Source organism: Homo sapiens, chromosome 5, assembly GCF_000001405.40.
Source record: "Homo sapiens chromosome 5, GRCh38.p14 Primary Assembly".
Taxonomy (NCBI): Eukaryota; Metazoa; Chordata; class Mammalia; order Primates; family Hominidae; genus Homo; species Homo sapiens.
The window spans coordinates 39058501-39077552 of NC_000005.10; the positions used below are offsets into that span (position 1 = coordinate 39058501).

At 38.9% G+C, this 19052-nt stretch overlaps 1 protein-coding gene across 10 annotated transcripts in view, besides 5 other annotated features; it reads right to left on the reverse strand.

Annotated features, from left to right (window-relative positions):
• Nucleotides 1-15899, reverse strand: part of RICTOR (RPTOR independent companion of MTOR complex 2) — a 136480-nt gene extending 120581 nt beyond the window's left edge. For 6 of the 10 annotated variants that reach the window (NM_001285440.2, NM_001438248.1, NM_152756.5 and 3 more), the window contains exons 1-2: nucleotides 15829-15899; nucleotides 15611-15658 (exon numbers count right to left, since the gene is read on the reverse strand). Coding sequence is in view for 8 of the 10 variants with exons in the window: in NM_001438248.1 (NP_001425177.1) it covers nucleotides 15611-15658; nucleotides 15829-15877 (97 nt within the window). In the remaining 2 variants the exon portion in view is untranslated. The remainder of the gene's footprint in view (nucleotides 1-15610; nucleotides 15659-15828) is intronic. The other 4 variants (NM_001438249.1, NM_001438049.1, NM_001438247.1 and 1 more) reach the window with 1 other exon arrangement.
• Nucleotides 14732-15258: an enhancer, noted in NCBI's record as "NANOG-H3K27ac-H3K4me1 hESC enhancer chr5:39073334-39073860 (GRCh37/hg19 assembly coordinates)". NCBI's record gives its function as "activates a minimal SCP1, AML or CMV promoter by ChIP-STARR-seq in primed H9 embryonic stem cells {active_cell/tissue: H9 hESC(primed)}" and the evidence as "EXISTENCE:reporter gene assay evidence [ECO:0000049][PMID:30033119]".
• Nucleotides 15197-16096: a silencer, noted in NCBI's record as "silent region_15981". NCBI's record gives its function as "represses an Ori minimal core promoter by ATAC-STARR-seq in GM12878 lymphoblastoid cells {active_cell/tissue: GM12878}" and the evidence as "EXISTENCE:reporter gene assay evidence [ECO:0000049][PMID:35858748]".
• Nucleotides 15197-16311: a biological region, named in NCBI's record as "H3K27ac hESC enhancer GRCh37_chr5:39074387-39074913".
• Nucleotides 15785-16311: an enhancer, noted in NCBI's record as "H3K27ac hESC enhancer chr5:39074387-39074913 (GRCh37/hg19 assembly coordinates)". NCBI's record gives its function as "activates a minimal SCP1, AML or CMV promoter by ChIP-STARR-seq in primed H9 embryonic stem cells {active_cell/tissue: H9 hESC(primed)}" and the evidence as "EXISTENCE:reporter gene assay evidence [ECO:0000049][PMID:30033119]".
• Nucleotides 18648-18747: an enhancer, noted in NCBI's record as "active region_22495". NCBI's record gives its function as "activates an Ori minimal core promoter by ATAC-STARR-seq in GM12878 lymphoblastoid cells {active_cell/tissue: GM12878}" and the evidence as "EXISTENCE:reporter gene assay evidence [ECO:0000049][PMID:35858748]".

Genomic DNA, 19052 nt, shown 5'->3' on the forward strand with positions numbered 1-19052 from the left:
TAAAACCCGGAGTGGTATAAGACAGTTCTAATGGTTCATTTTGAACTCTTAAAATAGAGAATCAGAAAAGATATTTATATATGTATGCTCTTTCAAGGAGAAGGATCTCTATTTTGTATTCTAACAACTTTTCAACTTTGATGCACAATTACAACTGCATGTTGTAAATCTAACATATTAACAAATATTGATATTTCCACATGAGCACACTGTTGAACTGAGGATGTTTATCATCTTCCCTTTTTCTCTGTAGAAATACTAAACTGATTTTGGTAATCATCCCAGAAACATAATTAGGTCAACACAAAACTTCTACTAGATTACAATTCTAATTTTTTCAACTTTCTAATCTGTAGTTTTGAAGTCTTTATAAATAATTTGATTATTTTTCATTAAACAGTCATTCAAAAAAAAGTTCACCTATCTAGACATATTATTAACTGGCCAAAACCTGTTCAATGAAAAGTTCAGGCTGAAGACACAGAAGAGAAATGGAGAAGATGATTTAAAATTTTTAAATTAAGGTGGAATTACTGTAATTACTTCAAACTTTATCCACTCATATAAACCCACTGACAATCCTAAAGAATCCATCCACATCATAACACACCTGATACACATGAGCAGACTTAGATTAAAATAACTTTATATATACAACATGGTGATAAGACATAACATCAGGCATAAGAAGGCAGATACAACAGAGCATACACTCTTGTTTATCACCATGGATTAGTTTGGCCTGTTTTTGAACTTTACAAAAAGAGTACATCTACTGCATGAGTACATTTTATAAAGTTCAAAAACCGGCGGCTAAACTAATCTATGGCATTAGAGGTCAGGATAGTGCCTTCCTTGGCTGGGAAAGTAGTGCCTGGAAGGAAACAGAATGGGAGCTTCCAGGGTATTGCAATATTATGTTTCTTGATCTGGGTTCTGATTCCCCATGTGTTCAATTTGTCAAAATTCTCAGAATTGTACATTTATAACAAAGACTTTTTGGATCTATGCTATCTTTCAATAAAGGAAAGTTTTTATATAACATTTACTGTTTTCCCTGCAGTTCTGAAGGTCCTCAACAACTTACCCTTATCCTACAAATCTAATACTAAAATTCTATATTCTTATGGTTCCTTTCAGTAAAATGTGTCATGCCTTTATTTATGCCTTATTTCCTCTAGATTTAACCACATTCTACCCATCCAAGGTTGAAACAATCCTCCACTTTCTATGATTTTTTTTCCAGCTCACATCAATCTCTCCATTCTCATCTCTTTTGCTTTCACTGACCATACAAATAAGAATATGTAATATCTATTTCTTTACATCTATGTGCTAAAAATGTAATAAATATTTTACAAACATTTCCTTCAATCCTCAAATAAGTGTTATCTCAAAAGGAGATGAAGAAACACGCTCAGAAAAGGCAACTTGTCCAGCAGAGCCCTTAACTTCTCAAAGGCAGGATCAAGATTCAAATCTAGATCTGTCTGGGTACGACACCATGCTTTTAGTCAATACTAGACTGTCTTCATATCATGCAATCAGTACCTTATTAGATGTTATTTTGTCCATATTAGTTATATTTTGTAACTTATTAGCTATCTTCATATAATCCTACTATCCATATTACATACGTATAAGCCAACTCCATATCAAGTCATACTTCACCTACTCTGAACTATGCTATGAGGCAATTACCTATTTGGAAAACCTGTACTCAAATGTAAGCACTCCAAAAAATGACAATAAAAATTCAAAGTATGTATCATCACCAAGTTTATTCACATGTTATGCATAGTAGAGACTCTTAATTCTTCATCACAACCTATTTATCCTATTTTACATATATTAGCGTAAGTCCACACTTAACAGTTGCCATTCTACAGCACAATAAAAGTAAAAAACAAAGAATTAAAGGACTCCTAAATATAGGGATAATAACTGCATTGTAAAGTGACAGCTGAAAGAAACGTAGAAGCATACAGGAATCAAAAGAGCGGTGAGGTATTACAGAGGGTAGTAATAAATTGTCTTCACCCCACCCCAACACAAAAATCAATATTCATAATGATGACCCTAGCCAAGGAGAAAAAGTTAACATACTTTAACTTTTTCTCAAGTTAATAGTTGGTATTTTCTCAAGTTAGAAAAGAACAGGAACCAGCTCTAGAAACAACTGTATAGAAATGGCTAAAATATACATTTCGGATCTCAGTTAATAACCTGGTTCCTGGGGGTTCCAAATCAATACTCTACAATACATAGAATACTCATTTAGTCTTAGTCATATGATTTATCTTATACATGATGCTGTCTTTGGGAAGACTGCAAAGGGGTAAGTGCATGGGTTTTAGAATCAGAAACAAAGAAAGGCTTCTGAACCCCACCTCTCTCTCTCATAATACCTATATGATCTTGGGCTAGTTAGGCATCGCCCCATTTTCCTCATCAGTTACACAGGTGTATTAATACATATTCTCCTAAGTATGTAGGAAGACAATGAGAATTTAAGTAATGTTTTTAACACACTCCCCAACATACATTATTCAAAATATGGCAGCTGCTGCTACTATTTCTTGTGTTCAAAGACGATTAAACATTTACCAATTAGAACAATGCTGGACACATAACCAGTACTCAATAAATACTTGGTGAGTGGCCTGTGTATAAGAAGAGAAGGGTAACCAAATCTCTAATAGCATACAGCAGGGTCCAGCCTGATTACATCTACTACTTTTTATTTGCAAACACTTACCAAATAAAAGAACTAGGACTAACTGCAGAAAGTTATTTTTTCATTAGATTTTTTGCTAATTCAATGTAAGAGTTTTATCAACAAACATAGCTGCTCAACAAAGGAACAAACCACTGTGAATAACCTACCCATGAGTGGAAGGTCTGAGTGATGGTGGATGACAGCTGTCTGATATTGCAGAGAAAATTCCTGCTTTAAGTGGGAGGTCTACTAATTTCTAAAGTAGCTTCCAAATATTCTTAGAAACAAACATTAGATTCATATATGCACATACCTTTCCGAAATTCATACATATTTAAGCACTCCAGGTGAACACTTAGCAGCAATACATTTGTTTTAAAGGTAATTACATTTTTTCTCGGTGGTACTTTTCCAATATAAAAACAATTATTGATGTATGCAAAGAATTCCTCCCGGAATCAAAAATCAAGTAGAGTTTTTTTAGTAAAACAAAATAACTATTAGAAGAAACAATGCATAGCAAAAGGCAACTGCCACAGTTTACCTGAATCTTAATCATCTCCTTTTAATTTTGATATGAAGAACAACCAGAATCTTTTCAAATATATAACTTTTTTCATTCTGCTAGGTAAAATAATAACATATACTTGTGTATTCAAAACAATGTTGAAATATGACCATGAAACAACAAACTTTCCCATGAGAAAAAAGAAAGACAATGTTAAGGTTTTTATTAAAATAAGGTGGTTTAAGCATTTTTAAAACTATTCCAATCTAAAATTTAACTCACTACAAATTGTCATGTAAGAATTATTCTTATATAACATATGAAATCTTATATGACATAAGAATTAATCTGACCTGCTTTCTACTGTTATGCCATTAAAAACACCGCTGAAAGTTATAGCCTACAGTAATACGTCACTCTAAATAAACAAGGTAGGAAATAGCTTAGTATTCAAACATCCATTATTATAATTTTATACTAATACCACATGTGACAGATATGATTAAAAACTTATAACACATACACTGAACAAACAGTTTCACAATATTCCACTTGCTACCTGATTACATATCCAGAAACTACCACATGGCTAAATGTTAAGAGTTCACAGCTCACCTACCTCAAAATGTGTTTCCAACCACTGGAGTCTCTCCCTGCAACTCCATTCCCCTCAGAGTTTTTCATTTTTCCTTTTTTTTTCTTCTTGAGGGAGGGGAGTGGTGGTGACGGTAGTGTGGTAAACATTAGAAAGTGCATTATAGAATTATGAGTGAAAAAAAGTGTAATTAAAAATTTTATTATATGAGGGTCAAACACTAAGCATGGAAATAAATAGCAATACTATTTTAAGATGTGATTTTTTGAAGTATGAAACTACTGATAAAAATATGTATGTGCACACATCTAAAACAGCTAAATACACTTTTATCTGACAAGCTGTTCCTTCTTAGTAACTAAATTACTTGGCAACCTTCTTTGTTTACAGCTTCTATGTCTCTTCATTCTCTATTCATTATAGGAAACACATGAAATTTCACTGGATTAAATGCAAGATGACTAAAATCCCTGAAGTCTTGTTTTGCTGCTATAATAGAGCAATAATTTCCTCAAACACTATTTATCCTGTACCTAAATCACTAGAGGGCTGGGTAGGGTGTCTGAATTTGGCAATGAAACATTCTGTGGTTTTCAGGATAATCTTCATTTCAAATATTCTGACTGTCAGGTTACATGTTTAAATTTTGAGATCAGAAAATCTGGTGATTTTAGTGTAGAACAAAATAAAAACACCACCCATCCCATTTATATTCTATTTCCAGACTGCATACATCTAGAAATAAGTTTGATAAATTTACAAAGGACTTTGAACATGCACACTCCCTCCATTAAACAGTATTACTGAAGGTGCAAGACATATGCACTACAAAACAATGGAAGAAAAAAATTACTAATTACCTAGGCTTGGGTCTGGAATGCAGACATTTATAGACTCATAGTCACAAGTACACGCAAACAATTAGTATTTCACAGTGTGCTCCAAATCTTTCAGTCCAGCAGTACCTTCTAAGGCCAGAAGAGCCTGTCTGTAATATAATCATTCTTCAATAGTTAAGGGATTTATATCCAGGAAAACAAAACTTACCCCTAACTTTTTCTCAACATTATCTTGAAATACTAAATAATGTACCAGGAAAACGTTCATTCAAAAAATTAAAAGTTTTAAAACCCTGGTGCAGAGCTCTACCTATTTGAATTGCTACTCTTTTATGCAAAGGTCTTACAATTGTCATTATATCTTCACTTCTAAGAGATCTTCCTTCTAGGTCATTCCTTACCTATCTCCCATTTTTTCTGAATTCCTCTAGCTTTTAGAGTCCCTTACAAAGATAATTGGCATATGCTTCAAATACTACTGTCTTTTACTGTACACTGATAGAGCTATATCCCAACAGAAACTCCCTGAAGGAAGATGTATGCCTTCCTCAACCACAACAGTATTAACTAACCCATGTGATCATATAATATATATATAATTAACCCATGTGATCAAAAATATACTGGTTGACATTAATAAAACCATTACAAATCCAAATTAACACAATGGGGTTAAAAAAAAAAAGGAAAAGTAATTGAAGGACGCAGATTCTTGAAAATCCAGGTAATTAAGGTTAAAAAAACGTTTTCTGTATTTCTTACTGACATCTTTAACAGGATATGTTTAAAGCATTAGAATATCCTCAATTTTATATTTTATATAAATGTCATCATTCCAGGTACATTGCTCAGTTTACGCAATCTGGCTGGAAGCCTCTAAAAGAGGAATACGAAGAATATACTTATATTTAGGTTCTCTTTCAACCCTATTACTTTGGGTATATGAATGTTATACGTATTAACTAGTTTTACACAATTATTTTCAATTTACTTTTATGTCTGTAATTTTATAACTACATTTGTTGTATGGATATAATTTTTAAGGAGCCATTCAACTTTAACCTGGCCACTGTAACAAAAAAACACAAATAACAGTATCTGTAGATGACCCAAAAAGCATTAACAGTCAACTTCAATTATTCATACAGATTAACAAATATTTTAACCTGTTTATGTTCTTCCACTAACAGTATTTGCTTAGGAAACAAAAATCTGTGCTAATAATTCAAATAAAATGTAAAAGAAAATATACATCAATCTATTGTGGGAGAGAAAAGAACATAAAATATTTTCTCACCAATATAAAGTATTTAGATTATATATTTAGCATTCTTCTACCATTATTCATCTTTTTAAGGCAGGTAATTGAGAATGGACTGTATTTAATAGCTTGGTGACAGAGGCACAGATACACAGGCAAGCAAATCATTCGCTCACCCCACTGTGCTTTTCGCAGTCTTATTCTTGGTAGCCTGAGACCTGGGAGCGGGAGGAGGCAGCAAGTCACTGCAGGTGGATCACTTAAAAGGAAATTGAGAGTTGACTGTAATTTAAATTTAAAGTGCTATGAAATACCACCACTCCTACATGTATTCATTATTGTTTGTGGGACTACTACTCACAGTGATTTAACAAGGCTACAAATGCTTTCTTTTTAACCTTTTCAATATTCCAGGTCTGTAGTGATATGTGAGAATTACAAAGGTAGGAGGCTAAAGTGCTGCAAGTATAAAGTAGTATGCATTTTAGAGGTGAGGAAATTGAAGCCAGAGAGGTTAAATAGCATGCCATATCTTCCTCAGATTAAAGCAGAACCTCGTTCTCTGGACTTCAACTTCAATGCAACAGTCTAGCAGCCCCTTCAATTCAAAACTCTTCTCCTGGCTTATGTATCAGGCCATTCTTGCATTGTTACAAAGAAACACCTAAGACTGGGTAATTTATAAGAAAAGAGGTTTAATTGGCTATCATTTCTGCAGCCTATACAGGAAGCAGGGCACCAGCACTTGCTTCTGGGATGGCTTCAGGAAGCTTTTACTCATAGCAAAGACGAAGCGTGTGCAGGCATCTCACATGGCAGAGCGGGAGCAAGAGGGAGCTGGGGGGAAGGAGCCACAGGCTTTTAAATAACCAGATGTTGTGAAAACCTACTATCACGAAGACAGCACCAAGCCATGAGGGATCCACTCCCATGACCCAAACACCTCCCACCATGCCCCATCTCCAGCATTGGAGATTACAATTCAACATGAGATTCGGGTGGGGACAAATATCCAAACTGTATCATTCTGCCCACGGCCCCTCCCAAATCTCATGTCCTTCTCACACTGCAAAATAAACTCATGCCTTCCCAACAGTCTCCCAAAGTCTTAACTCATTCCAGCATTAACTCTGAAGTCCAAAGTCTCATCTGAAACAAGGCAAGTCCCTTCCACTTATGAGGCTGTAAAGTCACAAATAAGTTATTTACTCCCAAGATACAATGAGGATATAGGCATTGGATAAACATTGCCATTTCAAAAAGGAGAAATCAACCAAAAGAAAGGGGCTACAGGCCCCATGCAAGTTCAAAACCCAGCAGGGCAGTCATTAAATCTTAAAGCTCCAAAATAATCTCCTTTGACTCTATGTTCCACATTCAAGGCACACTGCTGCAAAGGGTGGGCTCCCAAGGCTTTGGGCAACTCTGCCCTGTGGCTTTGCAGGGTTTAGCCCCCAGGAATGCTCTCACAGGTTTTAGTTGAATGCCTGTGGCTTCTCCAGGTATAGGATGCAAACTGCCAGTGGATCTACCATTCTGTGGTCTGGAGGATGGTAGGCCCCTTCTCACAGCTCCACTAGGCAGTGCCCCACTGGGGACTCTGGGGGGCTCCAACCCCACATTTCCCCTTGGCCCCACCCTAATAGAGATCCTCAATGAGGGCTCCACCCCTGCAGCAGGCTTCTGCCTAGACACCCAGGCTTTCTCATACATCCTCTGAAATCTAGGCAGAGGCTCCCAAGCCTCAGTTCTTGCACTCTGGGCACCTGCAGGCTTAATAATACATGTAAGCCATCAAGTCTTATGGCTTGCACCCTTTGAAGCAGCAGCCCGAACTGTACCTGGGCCCCTTTGAACAAGGCTGGAAGCCTGAGTGGCTGGGATGCAGGGAGCAGTGTCTTGAGGCTGTGCAAGGCAGCAAGGCCCGGCTAGCCCAGGCCCACAAAACCATTCTTTCTTCCTAGGCCTCTGGGCCTATGATGAGAGGGGCTGCTGTGAAGGTTTCTAAAATGCCTTGAAGGCCTTTTCTCCAACTTCACGGATATCAGCACTTTGGCATGTGTTTAATTATGCAAATATCTCTAGCACGTGGTTGCTCTATAGCCTGCTTGAATTCCTCCCCTGAAAAAGCTTTTTCTTTCTTTGCCACATGGCTAGGCTGCAAATTTCCCAAACCTTTATGCAGTGCTTCCTGTTTAAAAACAAATTCCAACTTTAAGTCATTTCTTTGCTCCTACATCTTAGCATGGGCTGTTAGCAGCATCCAGGACACATCTTGAACACTTTGCTGCTTAGACATTTCTTCCGCCAGATACCAGAGGTCATCACTCTCAAGTTCAAACTTCCACAGGTCCCTACAGAATGAACAGAATGCAACCAAGTGCTTTGCTAAAGCATAATGAGGGTGACCTTTGCTCCAGTTCCTACTAAGTTCTTCATTTCCACCTGAGACCTCATCATCATGGACTTCATTGTCCGTATCACTACCAGCATTTTGGTCACAACCATTCAACCAGTCTCTAAGAAGTTCCAAACTTTCCCTCATTTTCCTGTCTTCTGAGTCCTCCAAACTCTTCCAACCTCTGCCTGTTACCCAGTTTCAAAGCTGCTTCCATATTTTCAGGTATCTTTAGAGCAATGCTCCACGCCCACTTACCAATTTTCTGTAATAGGCTGTTCTTGCACTGCTATAAAGAAGCATCTGAGCCTGGGTAATTTAAAAGAGGTTTAATTGGCTATTGGTTCTGTAGGCTGTACAGGAAGCATGGTGCCAGCATCTGCTTCTCGGGAGGCCTCAGGGTGTTTCTGCTCAAGATGGAAGGTGAAGCAGGAGTAGGCATCTCACATGGCAAAGTAGGAGTGAGAAAGAGTAAGAGGGTAGGTGCACACTTTTAAACAACCAGATCTTGCCAGAACTCACTATTGCAAAAACAACACCAAGCCATCAGGGATCCATTCCCATGGCCCAAACACCTCCCACCAAGCCCCACCTCCAGCATTGGGGATTACAATTCAACATGAGATTTGGGTGGGGACAAATATCCAAACTGTTTTAGCTTAAGAGATCACAATTTTCTCTCTTCTCTTCTATTGACTCCTTTCTTCTTATTGATTCCTACCCTATGATATACACCCTCATCATCTTATCTATTTTCATACATTCAAATCTTCAGCTCTTTTTCCATTTATATCCCTTTTCTCAACATCTTACACACAGAACAATCAGACTAGAAATTCAGGGCAACTAAAACCTCCATTCCAGTATTTGCTGCCACCTTTTACACATTTATATAATCACGTGAAATTCAAGGTGCAAAGCTGAACTCATTATCATCCTTCCCAAAATGACTTCTCCATTTTATGGCACCATCAATTTCATTGTCCCTTAGGACAGTAATCTTAAAGTACTCTTTTCCTTCTAATCTCCTTAATACTGTACTATTCTTTTTCCCATGTCTCTCACTCCCTTCTTCCAGTCAATTAATGCCTCAGTGATTATCTGATGGATGCTGGGGGAAGCGGATGTTAAAAATGGGTAAAACAGGCCTCCTGCCCTCAAGAAGCTAAAGATCTAGTGAAGGGGGAAGAAACTGGACAAAGAACTAAAGTAAGACAATGGTAACTGCAATTTAGAAAATAATAAATAAAGACGTAAAAAAGCAGAGAAGGAAGCAATAAATTCCCACTGGGATAAGGAAAGATCTCCAGAAATGGCATGTGACCTCAACCTTAAAGAATTAGGACTTCTATAGATAAACTGTGCTGGAAATGCAATTCAAGGCAAAGGAAATACCTACGCAAGGTCAAGCGAATATTAAACTACATGCCATGTTCAAGGAATAGCAAACATTCTTCTTTGACTGAAAGATTCTCAAGTAGGGGCATACAGTCTCCACGGAGAAAGAGGTGGAATGGGGGTTGGTGCTTTAGACTGGCAAACTCTCCCCAATCCTCTCTGAGAAGGACTGTATGTAATGAAGTGAACTATGCAGAGAGGCAGATATATTGAGATGTGTATGGTTAAAATAGTACAGAAGAAAACCATATGGGAGTAAATCAAAAAAGGCCTTGAATGCCAAACTAAAGAAATGTGGACTGTATTCTGTGAGCAAAAATTAGCCTAGAAAATGTGTGTATGTGTTTTGTTTTGTTTTTTTATTTAAGAGAACAACAAGATCAGATCTAGATTTCTGGGAAATAATCCTGGCAGGCATACAGTAGACCGAGTGAAAAAAGGTGAGAAGATATTACTGCCACACGATGACATAATGAGGATATGAACTGACAATGGGAACAGAAGGAGAGACTGAATTCAACAGCTATTTCAGAAGCTAATCAGAGGAGTTTAGCAATACAACAAAGAGGATAAGCAGCAGATCTCTAGCTTGAATAACAGAGGATGGCGGAAATACCTAGAATGTGAAAAGTGGGTACACTTTGGGGTGCAAAGTTTTACACATCACAACTCTGAGATGATTATCAGACACATACCAGTCACTCACTAAGCCCTGTGACACTGGTTAAGTTACCTGTTTGAGTTTTAGCCCTTTAAAATTTCAAAGCCTATATTCTCAACTGTAAAACAGAGACAATAAGTGTAGCTAAAACAGCTGAATATTAAGTAAAATAATGAAATCAGTGCCTGGCACAAAACTAGTATTATAGTAATAGTATGTATAATAGTAGAATGTGGAACTTAAAAATGCCCATAAATTTTGCAAGAGGTTACTAGCATCTTTTAAGAAATTATTTTCAGTACAGAGGGAGAGTTTTGCTTACAAGACTTTGTTAAGCAATAAAGTTGTGGAGTGAAGACAAACTATTCTGTCTGTAGAGCCTTCAAAAAAAAGTTTTTGTAATATTGTCGTTATCATTCCATATCTCCCACTTTCAGCCCATGCCTAACATAGTACCTGGTCCATGTGAAGAACATAAAAATTGCTTGCTGAACATGAGAAAACTGAGCCAACTGTAAGGGAGAAATGAAGAGAAGATCTTAGTTCTACAAAGAATCTTGAGGAAACAGTATTAGAAGCATAAACGTTTTTCCAAGTTACCCTTGGAAAAGAATAGCAACGCTTTATTCTTTGAATCAGGGTAAAGACAGTAAGTCTGGGCAGACAATTGAGGAATTCACACTGGATGGGCAGCCTCTACATTTTAATAAAGAAATAAAATTCACTGCATAGAGTGGGGGGACTACAAAATCAGTCTGAAATCTGAAGAAAGCAAATTAGATAATTCTTCCATTTTAATATGTATTTGACTTCATTTCTGTAGCCAACGCCATGGTCCAGTCTTCTATCATCCGTCAGATTATATCAGCAGCACCCTAGGCAGCTCCTCTGCTTCCTAACTTTCCCCTTCCCAGGGTATGGTATATTCCCAAGAGAGCACATATTTCCTTCCACTATGTCCACCATTATTCTTTTAAGAAGTCAACCCCTCTATGAGACTTCTCTGATCCTTTTACCCACCAGACAGTTAATCATTCTCTCCTCTGGCTACTATTGGGTTACCTCTGTTTCCTATATAGTTTGATTACTTAATTTATTTTTCCACCTGCAATCATTTCCTTATGTCTATTCCAATGAAACCCTTAAAAGGGGGAAAGAGTTTCCTCATTTTTATTCTTCCAGCAGTTAATTCAGCATCTGGTATATAAATGTTCAGTCAATGTCCATTTTGTCTAACTGAATGATTAAACAAATGAGAAAACTCCTAACCAGAAGAAACTGGAAAATAAAAAGTTAGAGTTCAGGGCCGGGTGCGGTGGCTCACGCCTGTAATCCCAGCACTTTGGGAGGCCGAGGCGGGTGGATCATGAGGTCAGGAGATCGAGACCATCCTGGCTAACAAGGTGAAACCCCGTCTCTACTAAAAAAAAATACAAAAAATTAGCCGGGCGCGGTGGCGGGCGCCTGTAGTCCCAGCTACTCGGGAGGCTGAGGCAGGAGAATGGCGTGAACCCGGGAAGCGGAGCTTGCAGTGAGCCGAGATTGCGCCACTGCAGTCCGCAGTCCGGCCTGGGCGACAGAGCGAGACTCCGTCTCAAATAAAAAAAAAAAAAGTTAGAGTTCAAATCTACATCATTTTGGAACCTTTCTGCTTTTCTAGGTATTAGACAGCAACCAAGAGAGTCAGTTTTTTAGTTCTTAGTGGAAACGTAAAGGAGTTAATCAAAAATTATAAAATTCAACTATACTTTTAAATAAATTATATTCTAATAATTATATTTGAACTAGTGTGTCCATATTCTGGGAATTCACTTTGAACACAATAATTAAAGTATACCAGGAGGGGTTTACCCAGGAAGAACACTGTATCTTTTCAAGTGATTCAGTACCAGTAAAGAGATGCACTACTGGACTGATAAGACAGTCTATCCTTGCAGTACAAATGGCGAGAGGAAGCATTTGGGCTTCAAAATACATTTTGGCATGCATTACAGACAGTATTTAATAATATCATTAGCAAATATTGGGGACTTTCACAAATTAAGTAGTTGTCTGAACAAAACTCAGAGCAACCATTACCAATACGCTGACTGTAAAGTCTACTATAATGAAGTTCCTAAACTAGATAAAAATTAATCCATCAACAATTTTTAACTGAGGCACTCTATGTATGAACCACAGCACTAACACAAGTACCAAAACCAACGAAACTTAGAATTCTTCTGAGCCTCAAGAAGCTTGCAAGGCTAGCCAAGTCATTATTAAATAGTATGAAATGTCCTGGTGTCAGAGACAAAAATTCTAAGGTTCTATGAAATACAGTATCACATTTTATCCTAAGTGAATATAACATACTGCACTTCGCTTAGACTTAATTTATTGGTAATGTCACAGATTGCTTTACAATTGTTATATTCAAGAACTCTAACTCAGATAGACTATACCCAATTAGTATAACAGTATGTTTCAAAAAAAAAAGAAGCTCGAATACCATAATTCCTTATTAACAAGTTTATAATATTCAAAACAACCGTTTAAAGTATTTTTAATGTGAGTTTTAAAACTGTGATTTCACAATGTAGGAAGGCAACTAATGTTAAATATCACTTACAAAGTATCCGGTCTTATGCCAAGTACTTTAATTAAGAACTAGCTCATTTACTTTTCACATTCTTAACCCTTTGAAGTTATCTCTTATTTTAGAAATGAAGAAATCAGGGGTAAAGCAAGGTCAAATAACTTGCCCCAAATCACCCAACTATTAAATCTCACAGCTGAGGTTACAATCCAGAATGATTTGACTTTATAGTCAACTCTCTTTTCACTACACATTGATGGATCCTTTAGGGATTACAATGACCATGTCCTCTATTTTATAATGAGCTTTATTAGGTAACTACACAATGAATCTCTCAAAGATTAAATTTAAAAAATAAGAATAAAAGCAAACACTGCCTTGGCATTAAACAAAAAAATTTTTGGTTGCCCAAACTTTATCTTTTTACATACTGTAATCTAATCCACAAACAGCTGCCCTTCAGCTGCAACCCAAACTGCCTCACAGTTCTCAAATTATTACTAAACTTTAATTCCTCATGAATTTTCTTCAAGCCTTCTTTGAACAATGAAATGTCTGTCACAACAGCAACTTTTTAAAACAATAGTATCACTATAAAATGACTGATTCAGATTAATTCCAAACTTCCTTATGATTTAGAAATACAGATCTCAAACAATCCCTCACTCTTTATTTTTGCAATCAGTTTTAAATGGCTGTGTATACTTTATTCCAAACTGAAGTACATTTTGTCAGGGCAAGCCGAAAACAGCATTTTCTGCACTATCTATATTAACCTGGAAATACCTATGGACATAGGTGCTTACTAAATTCTCAGTTAATATGGCATTTTAAATAGTAAACAGTTACCTGTGTGCCTCAGTAAAACTGGAGTAAGCCAAAATTATCAAATCAGATGTGTACCTAAGCTCTTCCACAACTCAACATTTTTGACACCAAGCAGAGAAACCACTATATATAGGAGCTCGACGAACTCAATTTAAAATACAACTATATATTTCCAGCACCACATCTGAGCAGGTTTTTAATGCACAAGTTAAACTCAAGTTTATTAAGGGCTCCCTTCACCTTCATCTAAAACACATATGCCTGTATATAAATTAAATCACTCACTAATTACATCTTTTACAGACCTGAAATTGTAGAAGTTATCCTTGTTAGGAAGTTTTCTAGTGAATCTATTTTATATAGATTTTTCACATGTGTGTTATAGTCAAGTTTCCAAACAGTTGCACAGAAGTCAAAAGCTTTACATCTTTCTATACTAATTCTCAAAACCGATCTGCTGAAAAAAATGGTGGAAATTAGTGCATTGATAATCTAATTAGTAGCCATTTTCAGGATTTAAGCTCTACTATATTGTATTATATTTTAGAAACTGTCTTGTAAAAGGACCTAGTTCACCCAAAACTAAGTCCCTGAACTTTCAGAATAAAATATTAAGTTATAAAAATGTACTCTTGTAGCTAAGTGAAAGCTGACCATTCAGTTTATAAAACAGTAATCTTACATCGTGATAAGCAAAATAAAACAAATTAGAAAATGCACTATGCTTTCACTCTAGCCGTTGTCAACAAGGAGCCCAGCTTTAACAAATTACTGTAGATAACAGTCATTACGTCAGGTACGACATAGGGTAAAAAACTGATCTCATACAGAATGTCTACAACAAGTTTTTTTGTTTACTTCCTAAGGTGTTTTATAGACCTCAGAAACTGATTCTGTACAGCTGAACCGGGTTACACTCCAAGCTACAGCCCGTGTGAAATATGACTTCGTCGGAATCAGTAGGCTCAATCCTGTTTACCGTGGAAGAGAAAAGAATCTTGTACGTAACTACTAAATCTTCAACGAGATAATGTCGAATAAACTCTAGTACTGTAAGTGATAGAGGAAACACTGGCTAGTAACGGGATTAGGTCATTAAAAATATCACCCGAGTTTCCCCAGTTCGGAAGGTGTAAACAAACCCATCTCCACTGCAGAAGGTAAACAATGAACCTGCAGCAGGGTGAGGGGGCGGTCTTTAGCCAACTACAGTCCCAGCGGCCCGGGAAAGGGAAGCAGAAGGGAAACAGCATAAACCAGACATTTAGCAGTAATGACCAGTTCTAGGTTTCACTACCAAGTTATCAATGCTGCGGGTCCCCACAGGACGGTGGGCAAAGGGGAAAGCAGTCACGCAGTCGGCAAGCACCGAGCAGGTCCGGCTTCTGCTCCGGGGACGGGGAGGGCAGGATGTGGTCGCTCTTCCCTCAAACATCCTCCTGCAACCTAAATAACAGCCTCTACCTCCCTCCAGCTGCCCCTAGCTTGGGCTGCCGGACTCCGGGATAGGTGCAAACCACTCTGCCGGAGCTCGAGCCCAGAGGGTCGCCGGGTCTGCCGAGTTCCACTCGGGGCTCCCCCGCACCCGCAGCAGCCCGAGGCCCGGAGAAGGGCTCGGGCGAGGGAAGCGGGCGCTGGGTAGGGGGATGGGTCCGGCGAGGCGGCCCCGGGCTCGGTTCCCGCGGGCCGGCAGGCGGGGCTCCGGCTCTGGCCCCCGCACCCCGCCGGTCCCGTGCGGGGCCCGCCCCTGCCTCTGGCCCCCAGCCCCGGACCCGGCTCCTCCCCAGCAGCGCGCCCTCGCGGCGCCCGCGGCGCCCCGCGTTACCTCGGGTCAGATCCAGCGGGACGTTCTCCTCGCCGCTGTCATTCCGCCCTGCGCGAAACAGACACACAGCCCCAATTAGGATTGGCTCGCAGGCCAGCTGCGGCTGCCCTGGCTCCGGCCAGCGCCCCGGCTCGCTCCCCAACCCAGGGCCAGGGGAAGGCAAGTGCCAGGGGTGGCGGGCGCCGGGCGGTGGGGAGTGAGGGTTGCAGCGGGCTTACCTCGTACTCGGAGGTTCTTCAGAGAGCGGCCGCGGCCGATCGCCGCCATATTGACGGGTTTCAGTCACAACACCGGAAACCTCGCCCAATCGCGCGAGAACCCCTTCCCCTCCCCGCGCGCCGCGCCCGCCCCCCGCGGCACCTCCCCCGCCCCCTCGGCGGCGACGGCGGCGGGTGGTGCAGGCTCGGCCCCAGCGCTGAGGGAGCACTGAGCCGACCCAAGGTCTGCAAGGAGTTCGCGGCACCCGCCCGCCCACGCCGGACCCGGAGGGCACGTCCGCCGGGAGGGGCAGTTCCCACGAGGAAAGTCCCATTGATGCGAGTTGGCAGTGTAGAGGATGCTCCCCTCCGGCCGCCGCGGAAGCCGTCGTCCAAATGCAGGCGAGCGGGGAGGAGGAGGCCGGGATGCGGCCGGCGGGCCACCTGCTCTCGCCGGCCTGCCAGTCTCCTGCTTGCTCTGAAGCCCTGCCATAGACGGCCCCGCTCCCCCGTGTATCCACTGAAACATTTTTTTATAAAAACGCTGCGCACAGTTTTAGACTCCTTTCCTGGAATCGCTTTGCTCCAACTAAGTTAACACGTAACAAAGTTTGTTTTCCAGCCTCGCCCTTGATCTTCAGAATGCCCCTCTCGGCTAGGAGGGCTTCTCCAAGTGGAAGTGGTTAGGCAGTTTTGTTTTTGGCCGCCAGGCGTAGGACGCGAGAAGGGGGTGCAGCGGCCGGGGACCAGGGCGGCGGTCCCCGCGGTGGGATCGCGCCAGCGCCGGGAGGCCGGGGAGAGGGTGTTCTCTGCCGGGAGCCGAGGCGAGGCTGCTGGGTACTGTGTCCGGCTTTTATGGCTCTGCAGCTCCTAGGATCGTGGCTCATGCAGGTGTTGTGGATTAATCTATTTTATGCATAAGCCTATTAACATTAGGGATTTTAATTCTAGAAACTGCTTAGTTAATACGTATGTGTACACACACACACACACACACACACACACACACACACACACACACACACACACACACACACACACACACCTGGCCACTGACCCAGCAGCTTTCTCTTGAACTACATTTACTTTAAAGAGAGGAGCGATTTGTCCTCTCCAGTTCCTCAGCTCATCTTTCTATTCCATGAGACTGAAAGTTAATTAAAAGTGGAGATCTAGCCTTAACCAGTTCTGTTTTCCCAGCTCCCAGTTAATGCAATATCTGGCACAAATAAGTATTCAATAAATATCTGTTGGATGAGTAAGTGCCCTGGATTTCTAATTTATTCCAATTCTCTGCTTACTTTAAAAAAGAAAAAAAAAGCAATATTGGGGATATTTGTTGAAGTTGTTAATAAGAGTGAACATTTGGAAACACTTAAATGACCAAAGGTAGGGATTATGTAAATTATGTCAACGATTAAAAGTGAAGAGGTAGACTTAGTAATAGGAAATAATGTTCATGATATTAAATCAAGCAAAATATTACAAATTTCCTGTTTTATAATAAAAGTTTAAATATGTACGAAATTAAAAATATACATTATAAAATATTTTATATGTACATGTATGTTGAAAAAAGTCTGAAAATATACATGAAAATGTTAGCTGATTTTCTCCCCTCATTTGTGGAATTACACGTGCACTTTTTTGTTCTTGTTTGCTTGTCTCTACTTTTTAAATATCCTATAGTTAATATATGTCATTTGTAAAATAAGTGGTAAGAAGAAAAATAAAAGGAACATAAAGTAGCATCATCTGGAAAATAAAATAGGAACACTGCTTCCTTAGAATATTGCCAATTATCTATATATTCCAGTTCTTTTTTTTTTTTTAAACCAAGTCTACAATCAGATATCTGCGGCTGATACTGCACTTAGATTTAAGGATGTAACACAATTACAGTACTTTAAAGAAATGTCTTCTGGCATTACCAGTAGTAGTTTTAATGTCAACAAGCGTGCTCCCTCCGTTATAGCTTTAAAAATCTTGGTGCAATTTATTTATTCTAGTTACTGCCTAAAACAAAAATCACAAAACTTGAGGTCTGGCAGAGGGTTGGATTTCAACCCTCCATGTATCACCACATTTCACCCTTAAAGAAAAGTAGAGATCTATCAGTAGAAATTATACCAGATTCTTACAGTTGTTCTGATTTTCAACAAATCTTTTATCATATTATAAAATCCCTCTATATTCTACATTAACTCCTTCCTAATACAATTTAACTTCATTTTCTCTCGGTGTTTTATGAAAGTTGAGTACAACTAATCTACTTTTAAGTTACTTGAGGTACATAAGTGCCTAAATCCAGTAGTATTTTAATCATTATAACTGTATGCTATTAAAGACAATTATTCAATTACTCTATTTCTTGCAGGAGAAAAAATTACATTCAATCTTTCATCGAAACTAGTTTTTTCTCTGTTACTATTTCAGTCGTTTGAGTGGTTAGGTTCTCCATATTTGCTCTTAGAGTGAATGGCAGGTCTGGTGAAAAGGAACAAGTTATTAGTGTTTGCAAGTGACACTCAACTAGGAAGCAGAAGTTTAGATAAATTTTAGTAAGGAATACATTTTATAATGTGTTTGCTTTTTAAACAGTAGCACTACTTTATTGTTTATAGTCAGATTGATACTTGTTAAAACCCCTAAATTTTCTTCTTTGATACTTGCCAATTGCTAGCTATTCCTCCTTTTGAAACTTCTTTTTCTTCCTTGCATCTTTTAGCCGACCCATATGACTTACTCATTTTGTTTACTTCTTACTACTTCTCCAATTTTTATTTTGATTCTAATCTGGTCATTGAGAATGTGACTTCCTCTTCTTAGTTTTCGTTTCCCAGCTAGGTTTCATTTGCTGTGTCAGTGACTGTTTTTTTTTTTCTGGTAGTATTAGTCATTGATAAAAAATGTTCTATAAGAAGATCGAGTCCAGGACCATACCTTTGGAAGATAACTGCTTAATTCTGAGGATACAATTACTCCATTCATAGTCACTCCCTTGGTTCTATTCTCTACCCTCCTGCATGCAGTTAATAATTCTAGTATATAACTAGAATTCTAGTAATAATTCTAGTATGTAAACCATATTTTATCGGTTTGGGATACAGTTGTAATACTGAACAGAAACAAAAGCCTTATCAAAATCTTAGTTCCCTTTAATCTCTCTGCCTTGGTACATAGGCCATTTGAAGATAAAGCAAGTAAAAAGCCACAAAATTTGGTCAGACTATTTCTTGGTAACT